The sequence below is a fragment of the Homo sapiens genome, chromosome 9 (genome assembly GCF_000001405.40).
Source record: "Homo sapiens chromosome 9, GRCh38.p14 Primary Assembly".
Lineage (NCBI taxonomy): Eukaryota > Metazoa > Chordata > Mammalia > Primates > Hominidae > Homo > Homo sapiens.
Genome location: NC_000009.12, coordinates 121,786,134 through 121,801,107, shown reverse-complemented (window position 1 = coordinate 121,801,107; position 14,974 = coordinate 121,786,134). Strand labels below are relative to the sequence as shown.

The window sequence follows — 14,974 nt, the reverse complement described above, 5'->3', positions numbered from 1 at the left end:
TTTAGACCATGTGCAAGTATAATGGTTAAAAATAAAATAATAAAGTAACACACAAAAAAGAATTATATCTGTAGTGTTATGTTCATGATATACTGCCAAGTGAAAAAAAGCAACTATTGATCTGTGTGTAGTGTGATTCTATTTTTGTCTTTAAAGTATCACTTTGTGTGTGCAGGAATCAAGCCTGTCAGAAACCTTGATAAACAGTTAACAGTATATATCTACAGGGGGGAATTTGTAGGTGAGGAAATCCCTTTTAACTGTATATATTTCTGAGGGTTTTTTGTAAGCAGAAAAATGTGTGAAAGTCTTTAAACTAGGAGGGGCCAGGTGCAGTGGCTCAAGCCTGTAATCCCAGCACGTTGGGAAGCCAAGGCAGGTGGATCACTTGAGCCCAGGACTCAACTTTGGCAACATGGTGAAACCCCGTCTCTACCAAAACCCAGAAAAATTAGCTGGACATGGTGGTGCATGCCTGTAATCCCAGCTACTTGCGAGGCTGAGGTAAGAGGACCCCTTGAGCCCGGGAGGCGGAGGTTGTAGTGAGCCGAGATCGTGCCACTGCACCCCAGCCCAGGCAACAGAGCGACACCCTGTCTTAAAATAAGTAAGTAAATAAAATAAAATAGGCAAAAAGGATTACTGGATGTCCTACATCCACTACTTGCCTTTCATTGTCTTTGAGCTGCTTTTTAACTCCGTTAAGTCATGAAAAGCTGATCATGGTGCGTGTGATTCTCATCCATAGGAATGCAAACAACAGGATTCTATTCTTTTTTTTCTGGCTGAATAATATTCCATTGTGTACCTTGCTATACAACAGTTAATTTGTATTAAAACATTCATGTATGTATTCAACGTAAGTGTTCAGAATTTATGGTTATTTTTATAACTCTGTTAGCATTTCTTTATTTTTATATATCCTTAAAACATCCAGAAAACAAATTAGTCGAAGATTCCTGTCCTCTGAGAGGCCCAGCCAGTCAGAAACAGAAACAGTCTCTTCCCCAGGGGATGGTAGTCTGACTTTGGCCATGCCCTTCTTGCCTGCCACTGGTACAGTGGATACGAGGGGACCAGAGGAGCCACTCACCTGAGGTGCAGGATCCCTGAGGAAGCCTGCAGTGTATATGTGCCACGTTTTCTTTATCTAAAATAAAAAAAATTAAAGAAATGCAAATACGTGGTATTTGGTGGAATGCACTTGATTATTGCCCTGAAGAGAGACCAATTTTGCATCTATTTGTAAATTTGTTTCAACAATTGTGATTGCCTATGTAAGAGTGGTTTTTTGAATTCTCCTTTGAATTGGTTTCGACAACTGACTGGTTCCCTCATCAATTAATGTGTTGAAAATACTAAATATATGTTCATTTTATATTTGCATGAGAGCCAAGGTTTACTGTTTTAAAAATGTATTCTTTAGCACACGCATTTGTTATTTTTATCACTGAGGGTCATATCTAGGAATATTTTAAAAAATAAAAGTAGGCTAGGCACGGTGGCTCATGCCTGTAATCCCAGCACTTTGGGAGGCCGAGGCAGGCGGATCACCTGAGGTCAGGAGTTTGAGATCAGCCTGGCCAACATGGCGAAACCCCATCTCTGTTAAAAATACAAAAATTAGCCAGGCATGGTGGCACATGCCTGTAGTCCCAGCTACTTGGGAGGCTGAGGCAGAAGAATCGCTTGAAGCCGGGAGGCGGAGGTTGCAGTGAGCTGAGATTGTGCCACTGCACTCCAGCCTGGGTGACAGAGCGAGACTCCATCTAAAAAAAAATTAATATAAATAAATAAAATATTCCTGAGATTCTCCAGGGTCCCTAATTTCGAATTCCAGGGGGGTCCCCCTACCTACTGACTCCATAGTTTGAACTCCCTCCTGTCAGTCCATGATGGGCATGAAGCCAAACTTCACGCATCAGCAAAGACTGGACACTACCAAGTGTGGGCCCCCAGGGACTCCACTGCAGGCTTCCTCAGGGACCCTGCACCTCAGGTGAGTGGCTTCTCTGGTCCCCTCGTATCCACTGTACCAGTGGCAGGCGGGAAGGGCATGGCCAAAGTCAGACTACCATCCCCTGGGGAAGTGACTGTTTCTGTTTCTGACTGGCTGGGCCTCTCAGAGGACAGGAATCTTCGACTAATTTGTTTTCTGGATGTTTTAAGGATATATAAAAATAAAGAAATGCTAAGAGAGTTATAAAAAAACCCCATAAATTCTGAACACTTACGTTGAATACATAACATGAATGTTTTAATACAAATTAAGTAAACTGTTGTATAGCATAATTCCAATATTCACCAGATAATAAGATCAGGGTCTTGAAGCATTGTGGGGTGTGCACTGGAGACAGGCTTTCCACCTTGGCCAGGGGTCTAGTGACCATCCAGACTGTGTGTGCACCCTCACTGGGTTGTCCAGATTTTCGGTCCCCTATCCACCCACCTCTCCTGGTAGCCATCACCAGCCCACCCCCACCCTCTGCAATCTCACTAACAGGCACCAACTGGTATCTGGGGAAGCAATCTCGATTTTGTATATTTATTGTGTATTCAGGCCACTTTACCTAAAAGGGGCCATTTTTCTGTTGGAAAAGTCTAGGAAGACAATTCCATCTTTCACCTCTCTTTCCCAATAACCATAATTAGTTTATTTCCTGCCTTTTTGCATTGAAATGTGGCAGAGACCTGCATCCAAGTCTTGTTTCTTACCTCATTGAGAAGGTTTTGCTCTTAAGGATGATGTTGAATATGATGTTGAATATAAATACTGGCTTGAGATATTCTTTTTTAACGTGTTTTTATTACAAAAGCAACAGTATGTTAATGAAAAAAATTAAGTGAAGAGAGAAATAAAGGCGTTTATTATCTCATTATCCTTAGGTCAGTGTCTTATTACCTTAATAAGATACATATCAAATATATATCTTATTTATTTGTGATTTATATCATAAGTATATATCAAAGTGTTTTGTGATTTTATTAGAAAATTATTATTACTCTTATAGGTCACACGTATTATTTATATGTCAATAACTGTGCTAAGTAGAGGGTTGAAAAGCATTATTTCCAAATCCTTACAGAAGACCTCTCTATAGTAGATACTGTTATCCCCATTTTACAGTAGAGAAAACTGAGACTTAGAGGCTTTCCCAATTTGCCTAGGGCTCTATGGCTAATCAACAGCCATTAAGACTCAACATCCACATCCCCTTTCTCCCCAAGCTCAAGCTCTTACCTACACTCTACTCTCTCCTAATCCAGACCTGATTTTGCAAATATAGTTCAAAAACTAAACTAGAATCCTCCTGCACATACAATTCTGTTATCAGCTTTTACACTTAATATATTATTAACATCTTTCAATGTCATTTATTATTATTCTACAAACTTAATGGCTACATAGTGTTTCATTATATGGGTATGTTTTATTTATTTTTAAATGGCTCCATAGCAAAACAAGAAACAAAAACTGGTTGTAAAATATTCAAGCAATACTAAAGAATATAAAGTAGAAAATACGAGTCCTCCTTCCCTATCCTGCTGAGCCCCACGACCCAGAGGAAATTGCCGTGAACAGGGTGATGCATCTGCGTCCACATTGTTCTTTGATGTAATTTATTATATGTAATTTATTTATTTTTCCTTAAAGGAATGGGACATACTGATCTACTGCTTGCTTTTCACCCACAATGTATCATGAACATTGCTCCAGACCTATAAATCCTTTTTAATGTGCAAGAATCAAGAAGTCACACTTGGCTCTTGGCTGGAGCAACGGGGAGGAGAGTGGAGCAGTGTTTTGGGATTGGTTGGGATTGGAAGATGAGAGGAGGAACAGGTTCAGGGGTCAGAAAAGTCAAGGGTTCCATTTCAGACATAACAAGTTTGATGCCTGTGAACTATCCAAGTGGGCATTCAGCCCTGTGAATCTGCAGCTTGGGGCGTGGTGGGGCTGGGTATAGAAATGGAGGAGTCAACAGAGAATGGATGGTTTGTAAATCCACAGCAAAGATTCCCTGCTGCCTTTAGTAAGGGCATATGCTTTTCAATTCCCTCCAGTCTCCACCCCTCCTTGATGTCCCCGACACTGGGTCTGGGTGTCATCTCAAGCAGGGCTGCTTCAGTTACTCATTTGCTGCCAGGTCACCAAGGCTTTGGGGTTTGTGACTATGGCGTATTGTCAAGGCGTATTAAGGAAAAAAGCAACCCCAAAGTTGGAACTAAGGCAAGAGGAAGGCAGGCTGTCATTCCAGCATATATATATACATATATATATATACACACACACATATATATGTGTATATATATATATATATGTATATATATATTTTTTCATGCGCGTCCGTGTGAAGAGACCACCAAACAGGCTTTGTGTGAGCAACATGGCTGTTTATTTCACCTGGGTGCAGGCGGGCTGAGTCCGAAAAGAGAGTCAGCGAAGGGAGATAAGGGTGGGGCCGTTTTATAGGATTTGGGTAGGTAAAGGAAAATTACAGTCAAAGGGGGTTTGTTCTCTGGCGGGCAGGAGTGGGGTCGCAAGGTGCTCAGTGGGGGTGCTTTTTGAGCCAAGATGAGCCAGGAAAAGGACTTTCACAAGGTAATGTCATCAGTTAAGGCAAGGACCGGCCATTTACACTTCTTTTGCGGTGGAATGTCATCAGTTAAGGTGGGGCAGGGTGTATTCACTTCTTTTGTGATTCTTCAGTTACTTCAGGCCATCTGGGCATATACGTGCAGGTCACAGGGGATGCGATGGCTTGGCTTGGGCTCAGAGGCCTGACATTCCTGCCTTCTTATGTTAATAAGAAAAATAAAACAAAATAGTGTTGAAGTGTTGGGGCGGCGAAAATTTTTGGGGGGTGGTATGGAGAGAGAATGGGCGATGTTTCTCAGGGCTGCTTCAAGCAGGATTAGGGGCGGCGTGGGAACCTAGAGTGGGAGAGATTAAGCTGCAGGGAGGTCTTGTGGTAAGGGGTGATATTGTGGGGATGTTAGAAGAAACATTTGTCGTATATAATGATTGGTGATGGCCTGGATACGGTTTTGGATGAACTGAGAAACTAAATGGAAGATACAAGGTCCGAATAAAAGAAGGAGAAAAATGGGTATTAAAGGACTAAGAATTGGGAGGACCCAGGACATCCAATCAGAGCGTGCCCAAGGGGGTTCAGAGTAATTACTTGCTTGGTTGGCAAGTTTTTGGGCTCTATCCTTGAGTTTTTTTATGTTGTCATACACCAGGCCAGATTGATTTAGGTAAAAACAACACTCCTCATTTAAGAATATGCAAAGTCCTCCTTTTTCAGCAGTGAGTAAGTCAAGGCCTCGGCGGTTTTGGAGGACAACTGCAGCTAAAGAGTTAACTTGGGCCTGGAGGACTGATAAAGTTTGTGATATGTCTGTGATGCTAGCACAGAAGTCATTAGACAGGCTACAAAATGTCGTGACAGGTTGAAATGCCTGCTATTCCAGTACCGAGAGCAATAGTGGAGGCAGAAAGTCCTAAACCGACCATCAAGGGAATTAGTGGAATAACTCTTTTTTGTCGTGTCGGTGTCATGAGGGGAACAGGGAGTTCTTCGGTCCCATTTGCAAATTGAATTTTGGGGGTAAGGAAGACTAGTGTACATGTGCCTGTCCAATTAGCAGGTAGACACATGTAGGTAGAGGATCCACAGAGGAAGAAGAGACCTTGTGCGAGGCAAAACTGGAGATGTAAAGTAAAAAGATGAGAATGAGTGCTGAAAGGGGTGTTTTGTACCCAGACTCCTAGGGATCCAGCTAGGGTGGCAGCTGTCAGAGGTTGTAATGGGGACTGATGGGGTAACTGCGTAGAGGAGGAGGTTCGATTTTCATGGTGTATGAGGAAACGTTGAGTATCTACGAGCAACCTTTCACTGTTATTTTCGGGGCTGGGTATAAGTAAACAAGAGGGCCTGGGAGGAACAAGAACTGATCGTCCAGCTAGGTTGTCTTCATAGGGCTGGGGATCTGGAGTAGGCAAGAGAAGATTAGCAGCCTGGCGAATTTCCTGTCTAGCCTGCTGGAGGACTGGAAGATAGTCGCCTAGAGGGCTGGTGTCTGGGATGAAGTTGGGGCCAAGCAAGAAAGTGCATCCACGTAAAAGTTCAAATGGACTGTACCCTGCAGCATCTCGAGGACAGGCTCTGATTCTGAGAAGAGCAAGAGGTAAAAGTACTGTCCAATCCTTTTTAAGTTGGAGGCTGAGCTTGGTGAGGTGTGTCTTTAAAAGACCATTAGTCCGTTCTACCTTTCCTGAAGATTGAGGATGGTAAGGAATATGAAGGTTCCACTGAATACCAAGAGCCTGAGGAACTGCTTGGGTGATTTGGCTAGTAAAGGCTGGTCCGTTATCAGACTGCTGTGTAGAGGTGGGAAGGCCAAACTGAGGAATTATGTCTGACAGAAGGGAAGAAATGACCTCGGTGGCCTTCTCAGACCCTGTGGGGAAGGCCTCTACCCATCCAGTGAAAGTGTCTATCCAGACTAAGAGATATTTTAGTTATCTGACTCAGGGCATGTTGAGTAAAGCTAATTTGCCAGTCCTGGGTGGGGCAAATCCTCGAGCTTGATGGGGAAGGGAGGGGGCCTGAATAATCCCTGAGGAGTAGTAGAATAGCAGATGGAACACTGAGAAGTTATTTCCTTGAGGATAGATTTCCACGACGGAAAGGAAATGAGAGGTTCTATGAGGCAGGCTAGTGGCTTGTACTATAGCATAACCTGCCTTTTCTGGTGTGTGGCGATTAGGCCTGGTGGAACCGCCATCAATAAATCAAGCGTGATCAGGGTGAGGAACAGAAAAGAAGGAAATTTGGGGAAATGGGGTGAATGTCAGGTGGATCAGAGAGATACAGTCATGGGGGTCAGGTGTGGTATCAGGAATAATGTGGGAGGCCAGATTGAAGTCTGGGCCAGGAACAACGGTAATTGTGGGAGACTTAACAAAGAGTGAGTATGGCTGAAGGAGCCGGCAAGCAGAAAGTATATGCGTCAGGTATGAGGAAGAAAATAGATTTTGGAAGTTATGAGAACTGTAGAGAGTGAGTTGAGCATAGTTTGTGATTTTGAGGGCCTCTAAAAGTATTAAAGCAGCGGCAGCTGCTGCACGCAGACATGAGGGCTAGGCTAAAACAGTAAGGTCAAGTTGTTTGGACAGAAAGGCTACAGGGTGTGGTCCTGGCTCTTGTGTAAGAATTCTGACCGTGCTAACCATGCCTAGGAAGGAAAGGAGTTGTTGTTTTGTAGAAGGTGCTTGGGTTTGAGAGATCAGTTGGACACAATTGGCAGGGAGAGCACGTGTGTTTTTATGAGAATTATGCCGAGATAGGTAACAGATGAGGAAGACATTTGGGCTTGATTGAAGTAATGGGGGCTGTCTGTGAAGCTTTGCGGCAGTACAGCCTAGGTAATTTGCTGAGCTTGATGGGTGTCAGGGTCAGTCCAAGTGAAAGCGAAGAGAGGCTGGGATTAACAGTGCAAAGGAATAGTAAAGAAAGCATGTTTGAGATCTAGAACAGAATAATGGGTTGTAGAGGCAGGTATTGAGGATAGGAGAGTATATGGGTTTGGCACCATGGGGTGGATAGGCAAAACAATTTGGTTGATAAGGCGCAGATCCTGAACTAAATTGTAAGACTTATCTGGTTTTTGGACAGGTAAAATGGGGGAATTGTAAGGAGAGTTTATAGGTTTTAGAAGCCCGTGCTGTAGCAGGCAAGTGATAACAGGCTTTAATCCTTTTAAAGCATGCTGTGGGATGGGATATTGGCATTGAGCAGGGTAAGGGTGATTAGGTTTTAATGGGATGGTAATGGGCATGTGATCAGTTGCCAGGGAAGGAGTAGAGATGTCCCATACTTGTGGGTTAAGGTGGGGGGATATGAGAGGAAGAAGGGAAGGAGGCTTTGGGTTGGGGAGAAGGGCGGCAATGAGATGTGGCTGTAGTCCAGGAATAGTCAGGGAAGCAGATAATTTGGTTAAAATATCTCGGCCTAATAAGGGAACTGGGCAGGTGGGGATAACTAAAAAAGAGTGCATAAAAGAGTGTTGTCCAAGTTGGCACCAGAGTCGGGGGGTTTTCAGGGGTTTTGAAGCTTGGCCGTCAATACCCACAACAGTTATGGGGGCAAGGGAAACAGGCCCTTGAAAAGAAGGCAACATGGAGTGGGTAGCCCCCGTATCGATTAAACAGGGGATGGACTTACCCTCCACTGTCAGAGTTACCCGAAGCTCGGCGTCCGTGATGGTCCAGGGGGCTTCCGAGGCGATCTGGCAGCGTCAATCTTCAGTCACTAAGCCAAGCAGATCTGGGAAGGAGTCAGTCAGAGAGCCTTGGGCTAGAGCTTTAGGGGCTCTAGGAGTGGCTGCCAGGCGAGCTGGGAAGTCTGATTTCCAGTGGGTCCCTGCACAGATGGGACATGGCTTGGGAGGAATCCCGGGCTGTGGGCATTCCTTGGCCCAGTGGCCAGATTTCTGGCACTTGAAGCAAGATCCTGATGGAGGAAGTCTTGTAGGAATGCTTGACTGCTGCGGCTTAGGCATTTTGAAGTTCCTGTATGCAGGAGGTGTGGCTGGGTTTTGTCTCACAGCAGAGTCAAGTAATTGTAACTCAGAAATGCGTTGCCGTCTGGCTGCTTCCTCTCTATTATTGTACACCTTGAAGGCGAGGTTGATTAATTCCTGTTGTGGGGTTTGAGGGCCAGATTCTAATTTTTGAAGTTTTTTCCTAATGTCAGGAGTGGATTGGGTGATAAAATGCATATTAAGAATAAGGCGGCCTTCTGGTCCCTCTGGGTCTAGGGCGGTATAGCATCTAATGGTTGCTGCTAAGCGGGCCATGAACTGGGCTGGGTTTTCATCTTTACCTTGGGTAGTTCTTTAAGTTTGTCATAATTAATAGCTTTGTAAGCTGCTTTTTTAAGCCCTTCAACTACGCAGGAAACCATGTAATCTTGCTTAGCTATACCTGGGGAATTTGCCTGGTAGTTCCATTGGGGATCCTCTCGGGGAACTGCTCTAATGCCTTCCTGGAGGTCTGGCTCATGAAGCCGGCGGTTATCAGCATGAGATTGGGCTAGAGAAAAAAACTCTTTCCTGTGCATCTGGGGAGAGGGTAGAAGTCAGGATGACATTAAGTCACTCCAGGTTAAGTTGTAGGACAGAGTTAGATACCGGAATTCCTGTATGTATTTAGTGGGGTCTGATGAGAAAGAGCCTAAATGTTGACTGATCTGAGAGAGGTCTGATAGAGAAAAAGGTACATGTACCCTGACTATGCCTTCAGCTCCAGCCACCTCTCTAAGAGGAAATTGCTGGGCATGTGGGGAAGAGCTAGTCGCGGAACTAAACTGTAAGCCGGACCGGGTGTGAGGAGGGGAGGTGGTAGAAGGACTGTAGGGTGGAGGAGCAGAGGCTGAGGAAGAATTGGGACTTAGGCCTGGGGAGGAGGGGAAAGGTCAGATGGGTCTGTAGAAAAGGAAGACTAGAAAGACTCAGTGACGCTTGGGGTTGGGACTGAGGGGACAGGTGGGAGGGAAAGAAGGAGGTTCTGGGAGGAATCGCATTGGGAACAGAGGCTAGGGAGGGAATGAAATGTGAAAAATGCCTGGACATAAGGCACCTCAGACCATTTGCCCATTTTTCGACAAAAATTATTTAGGTCTTGTAGGATGGAGAAATCGAAAGTGCCGTTTTCTGGCCATTTAGAGCCATTGTCGAGTTTGTATTGGGGCCAAGCGGTGTTGCAGAAGAAAATAAGGCGTTTAGGTTTTAGGTCAGGTGTGAGTTGAAGAGGTTTTAAGTTCTTGAGGACACAGGCTAAAGGAGAAGAAGGAGGAATGGAGGGTGGAAGGTTGCCCGTAGTGAAGGAGGCAAACCTAGAGAAAAGAGAGCGTAGAGACACGGAGGGAAGGGGTTCGGGGGATCTTACCCTCCAGAAAAGTGGGAAGAGGGGTCGGGGCATGGAAATAAGGGATTGGGGCACAGAGATAAGAGGTTGGTGTGCAGAAATAAGGGATTGGGACACAGAGATAAGAGGTTGGGGCACGGAAATAAGGGATTGGGTCGCAGAGATAAGAGGTTGGGGCGTGGAAATAAGGGATTAGGGCACAGAGATAAGAGGTTGGGGCGCGGAGAAAAGGGATTGGGGGTTCTTGCCCCAGAAAAGCGGGACTTGCCGCTAAGGGTGAAGGACCAAGGCAGGCGTCCCTGAGTGGTCTGACACCCTTGAAACGTGAGTGTATAATCAGAGAGGCGTCCCTGCAATGATTAAACACCAAGGGAAGGCTGCCTTCCCAGTCACTGACCGGCGCCGGAGTTTTGGGTCCACAGATAAAATGTGTCTCCTTTGTCTCTACCAGAAAATGAAAGGAATTGAAATTAAGAGAAGGGAGAGATTGAAGTGTGGCACCAAGATTGAAAGGAGAAAGAGGTTGAGGGATAGTGAGGGAGGTTGGAGAAGAGAGTAAAGAGGCCGCTTACCGGATTTGAAATTGGTGAGATGTTTCTTGGGCTGGTCGGTCTGAGGACCTGAGGTCGTAGGTGGATCTTTCTCACAGAGCAAAGAACAGGAGGACAGGGGATTGATCTCCCAAGGGAGGTCCCCTGATCCGAGTCACGGCACCAAATTTCATGCGCGTCCATATGAAGAGACCACCAAACAGGCTTTGTGTGAGCAACATGGCTGTTTATTTCACCTGGGTGCAGGCGGGCTGAGTCCGAAAAGAGAGTCAGCGAAGGGAGATAAGGGTGGGGCCGTTTTATAGGATTTGGGTAGGTAAAGGAAAATTACAGTCAAGGGGGTTTGTTCTCTGGCGGGCAGGAGTGGGGTCGCAAGGTGCTCAGTGGGGGTGCTTTTTGAGCCAGGATGAACCAGGAAAAGGACTTTCACAAGGTAATGTCATCAGTTAAGGCAAGGACCGGCCATTTACACTTCTTTTGTGGTGGAATGTCATCAGTTAAGGTGGGGCAGGGCGTATTCACTTCTTTTGTGATTCTTCAGTTTCTTCAGGCCATCTGGGCGTATACGTGCAGGTCACAGGGGATGCGATGGCTTGGCTTGGGCTCAGAGGCCTGACATATATCATATACACACACACACACATATGTGTATATATATGTGTGTATATATATCATGTATATATATGTGTGTGTATATATTGTGTATATATATGATGTGATGTGATATATGTGTGTGTGTATATATATATGTATATATAAATATACATATATATATATATAGTTTTGGTGATGGAGTCTCTCTCTGTCACCCAGGCTGGAGTGTGGTGCAGTGGCATAATCTCACTGCAACTTTTGCCTCCCTGGTCCAAGTGATTCTTGTTCCTCAGCCTCCTGAGGAGCTGGGACTACAGGTGCGTGCCACCACGCCCGGCTAATTTTTCCACTTTTAGTAGAGATGGGGTTTCACCATGTTGGCCAGGCTGGTCTCCTGACCTCAAGTGATCTACCCGCCTCGGCCTCCCAAAGTGCTGGGATTACAGGCGTGAGCCACTGCATCCAGCCAGTTGTGGGTTATTTTTTTAAGGCTCATCTCTTCCCTGCATTGCCTCTGTTTCCTTTTACAGGCTGGTTAGGTTGGCCTCTCCTTTTCACACTGCAAGCTTTCCTCAGCGGTCTGGGGAGTCCTCAACTATCTGTGTTCTTCGTGTGTGTGTGTGTGTGTGCGCGCGCACACGTGTATGTGTGTGTATGTGTGTATGCGTGTGTGCATGTGTGTGCGTGTATGTGTATTTGTGTGTGTATTTGTGTGTATTCGTGTGTATGTGTATGTGTTTTGTGTGTGTGCGTGTGCGTGTGTATTTCTGTGTGTATTTGTGTGTATTTGTGTGTATTTATATGTATTTGTGTGTGCGTATTTGTGTATTTATGTGTATTTGTGTGTGTATTGTGTATTTGTGCGTATTTTTGTATTTGTGTATTTGTGTATGTGTGTGTTTCTGTATTTGTGTGTGTGCGTATTTGTGTGTGTGTGTATTTGTGTATGTGTGTGTGTTTCTGTATTTGTGTGTGCGTATTTGTGTGTGTGTGTATTTGTGTGTGTGTGTGCGCACGCGCGTGCAGGGCATGTTGATTGGGGGGTGCCACCTTGGGATGCTCAGACAGTGACTCAGGTGGGGGAAATACCTGGGAGCTGGTTTTTCCAAAGGATGTTCCAATCAGCTCCCTGGGGGCTGGACCCGTGGGCCCTGGGCACTTTGGGAGCAGTGATGGGACTGCGGGGGTTGGAGAGGAACATTGTTGGCAGCCTCACCCTCACAGAGCCCTCTGCTTTGCCTTGAGTCCCCAAGTCCAGAGTATACCTGGCTCCATTTCTCCAGAGACTAAATATCCAGTCCCTTGCAAGGAGATGAGGGGGAAAGAGTAGTTTCCTGGCTGTGCAGAGGAGCGGGAGGAGGCTGGGCTCTGATCCCCATGTTTCTGGCCTGGTGTACCTCCCCACCCCCCGACTCCTCCTCTGCCCCCCACCACAAAACACACAGGGGGACCTCCCACTGCTGAGCCTCTGGGGGTTCCTTGGGACCTGATAAGCTCATTTCCGGTTGGTTTCTCCCTCTGCTCTGCTAAATTCGCCTTCATTCCTTCCTTCCTTCATCCCCTTCCATCTGCCAAGATTTTCCAAATTCTCTTATCTCCCAAATTAATTTTGTCCTTATAGAGGTTAACGCTTTTATTTCTTTTCTGTCAGTACAGTGGTTTGCGGAGGAAAGAGAGAGAAATGCATGTGGTCAATATAACGATACACCTGGTTCAATTAGAAGACAATTTTCTTTTTGAATCTATTGATTCTGTATTTATTTTTTAAAACTTATTGATGGTAGTTTTAAAAAATTCAACATTTGTTACCAATCTCTGGGTTTTGGGATTTTTGTTTGTTTTTGCTTCAAGACACAGAATGTGGCCCGAATTGGTTCTTTGGGTAACTTTCTAAGGTTTTCTTCATACCTCAGTATACAGTCAGCTTCGGGTAGTCTTCCAAATTATAATTGAAAAAAGGGTGTGCTCTCTCTAGGGTAAGAGCTTGATGCATCCCAGGTTATTAAACCTTATTAATTATTAAAATCCTCTTGGTTCTTATTTTTTTGCCTCCTTGATCTGTAATAAGCTAATACTAGTGGTGTGTTACTCTCAAATGCAATTGTTTCTGTCAATTTCTTCCTTTGCATTTCTAGCAGTTTGCTTTCTAGTTGATGCTATTTTATCCACAAATAGAAGTTCATGCCTTTTATGTCTTCATTATAAATGCCTCCTATCAGAAAGAACTCAGAGAGTCAAATTTGGCATTTTCTCTAAGTGGAAGCTAAATAATGCGTACACATGGAGTGTGAAATGGTAGGCACTGGAGCCTCAGAAGGGTGGAGAGGTGGAAGGGGGGTGGGTAATGAGAAATTACTTAATGGGCAAATGTACACTATTTGGGTGATGGATACACTAAAAGTCCAGCTTCTGCCTCTATGCAATGTATCCATGCAACAAAATTGCACCTGTACCCCTTACATTTATACAAGTATAAAATAGATGCCTATCAACATCAAATGATTTCTTTGTCCCATTCCTTGCTGTCTCCTTGAGTTCTGTGTTCCTTATGAGCATCTCCCCAGCAGAGGGATGGTGGTCCCTGAAACCCAGGGACGGGACAGCAGTGCAGAGGCAATGGGGCGGTGGAGGAGCGGGAGGTCAAAGTCAGGTTTTGATGGGTGGGGGGAGAATGGGGGTTGAGGCTGTGGAGATGGCAGGCCGCTGCAGGCAGTATACATTCAAGAAGTTTGGCTGAAGGGGAGAAAAGCAGACAGCCTGAAGCAAGTGGAGACCTAGCACTTTAAAATGCTGTAGGAAAGAGCGGGGTGGGGGCGGGGGAGGCTGGAGGTTTAGAGGCCACGGAGGCAGCAAGAGGCAGGGATGCAGGAACTGGCTAGGGGCTGCCTTGGGAAGAAACAGGTTGCCTCCTCTCCTGCCGCTGCTGAGAGCTGGGGTAGCTGTGCTGGTGGTCGGCCTGAGGAGAGGGGGTGGTGGTTGGGGGGGTCACCCAGTGTGGGAGGAGGCAGGGCTCAGAGAAGGGCCAGTTGGCTGGCTGGGAGATCTGAAAAGAGGTACGAGTTTGGATTAACTGGGGTGGAGAATGAGAGAGGAAGGCCTAGCTGAGAATGGAGATGGGAACAGACCCACAGGGCAGTCAGAACTGGGGTGTTTTTTAGTTTTCTCCTGCAGTGCTTGGTGGCCTGGAGATCACGGCTGTTGGGTGGCCCCTAGGCCGAAGTGGTCAAGGAATATTGTCAAGATGGGCTGAGGAGGGAGCCCACAGGGTTTAGGCTTGGTGGGGGAAGGCAGAGAGAACACACAGGCTGGGGAGGAAAGGGGCCGGTCTGCAGACCAGTGCTGATGTGGAGGATGAGCAGGGAAGGCTTGGCAGCTGTGCCCGCTGTGAGCAGCACGGATGACACTTTCCTAGGTCAGAGGTGATAGCAGCCCAGGGTGGGCCCCAGGAGTGGCTGGCTCAAAGGGGGTCCTGGCAGGAGGCTAGAGATGGACAGCCTGAGAAGCCAGGGTGCTGGAGGGTGGGAGGTGGGACACAAGGGCCACCGGTGAGGGTGACGGTGCAGCCCTGCTCCGGTGTGTGGCTCTGCCGTACTTGCTTCCAGCTGGCTGCAGGGGCAAGAACAGGGACAGGCCCGAGGCTTCTCTCTGGGGCCCAATCCCTAGCTGGAGCCAGAGGCACCTGTCTAGGTGACAGACCCGGAGCTCCATCTGGCTTTTTGACCAGAGGTATCCTTGCCCCCAGCAGAAGCTCGGCCCAGGCAGTATCTGGTTTCTGAGGGGTTTGGGCTAGGGCTGGGACCAGGACCTGTCCCTTGGAGCGTCTGGAGTTACTGTGCACTGAAAGACCAGATCCTGAGATGCTGAAGATGCAGGGCAGGACCCAGGGCTGCAA

At 46.3% G+C, this 14,974-nt stretch overlaps 3 annotated features.

The window, feature by feature from the left end:
- Positions 4,237-4,974: an enhancer, noted in NCBI's record as "OCT4-NANOG-H3K27ac hESC enhancer chr9:124558413-124559150 (GRCh37/hg19 assembly coordinates)". NCBI's record gives its function as "activates a minimal SCP1, AML or CMV promoter by ChIP-STARR-seq in primed H9 embryonic stem cells {active_cell/tissue: H9 hESC(primed)}" and the evidence as "EXISTENCE:reporter gene assay evidence [ECO:0000049][PMID:30033119]".
- Positions 5,711-6,448: an enhancer, noted in NCBI's record as "H3K27ac hESC enhancer chr9:124556939-124557676 (GRCh37/hg19 assembly coordinates)". NCBI's record gives its function as "activates a minimal SCP1, AML or CMV promoter by ChIP-STARR-seq in primed H9 embryonic stem cells {active_cell/tissue: H9 hESC(primed)}" and the evidence as "EXISTENCE:reporter gene assay evidence [ECO:0000049][PMID:30033119]".
- Positions 10,675-11,215: an enhancer, noted in NCBI's record as "OCT4-NANOG-H3K27ac hESC enhancer chr9:124552172-124552712 (GRCh37/hg19 assembly coordinates)". NCBI's record gives its function as "activates a minimal SCP1, AML or CMV promoter by ChIP-STARR-seq in naive H9 embryonic stem cells {active_cell/tissue: H9 hESC(naive)}" and the evidence as "EXISTENCE:reporter gene assay evidence [ECO:0000049][PMID:30033119]".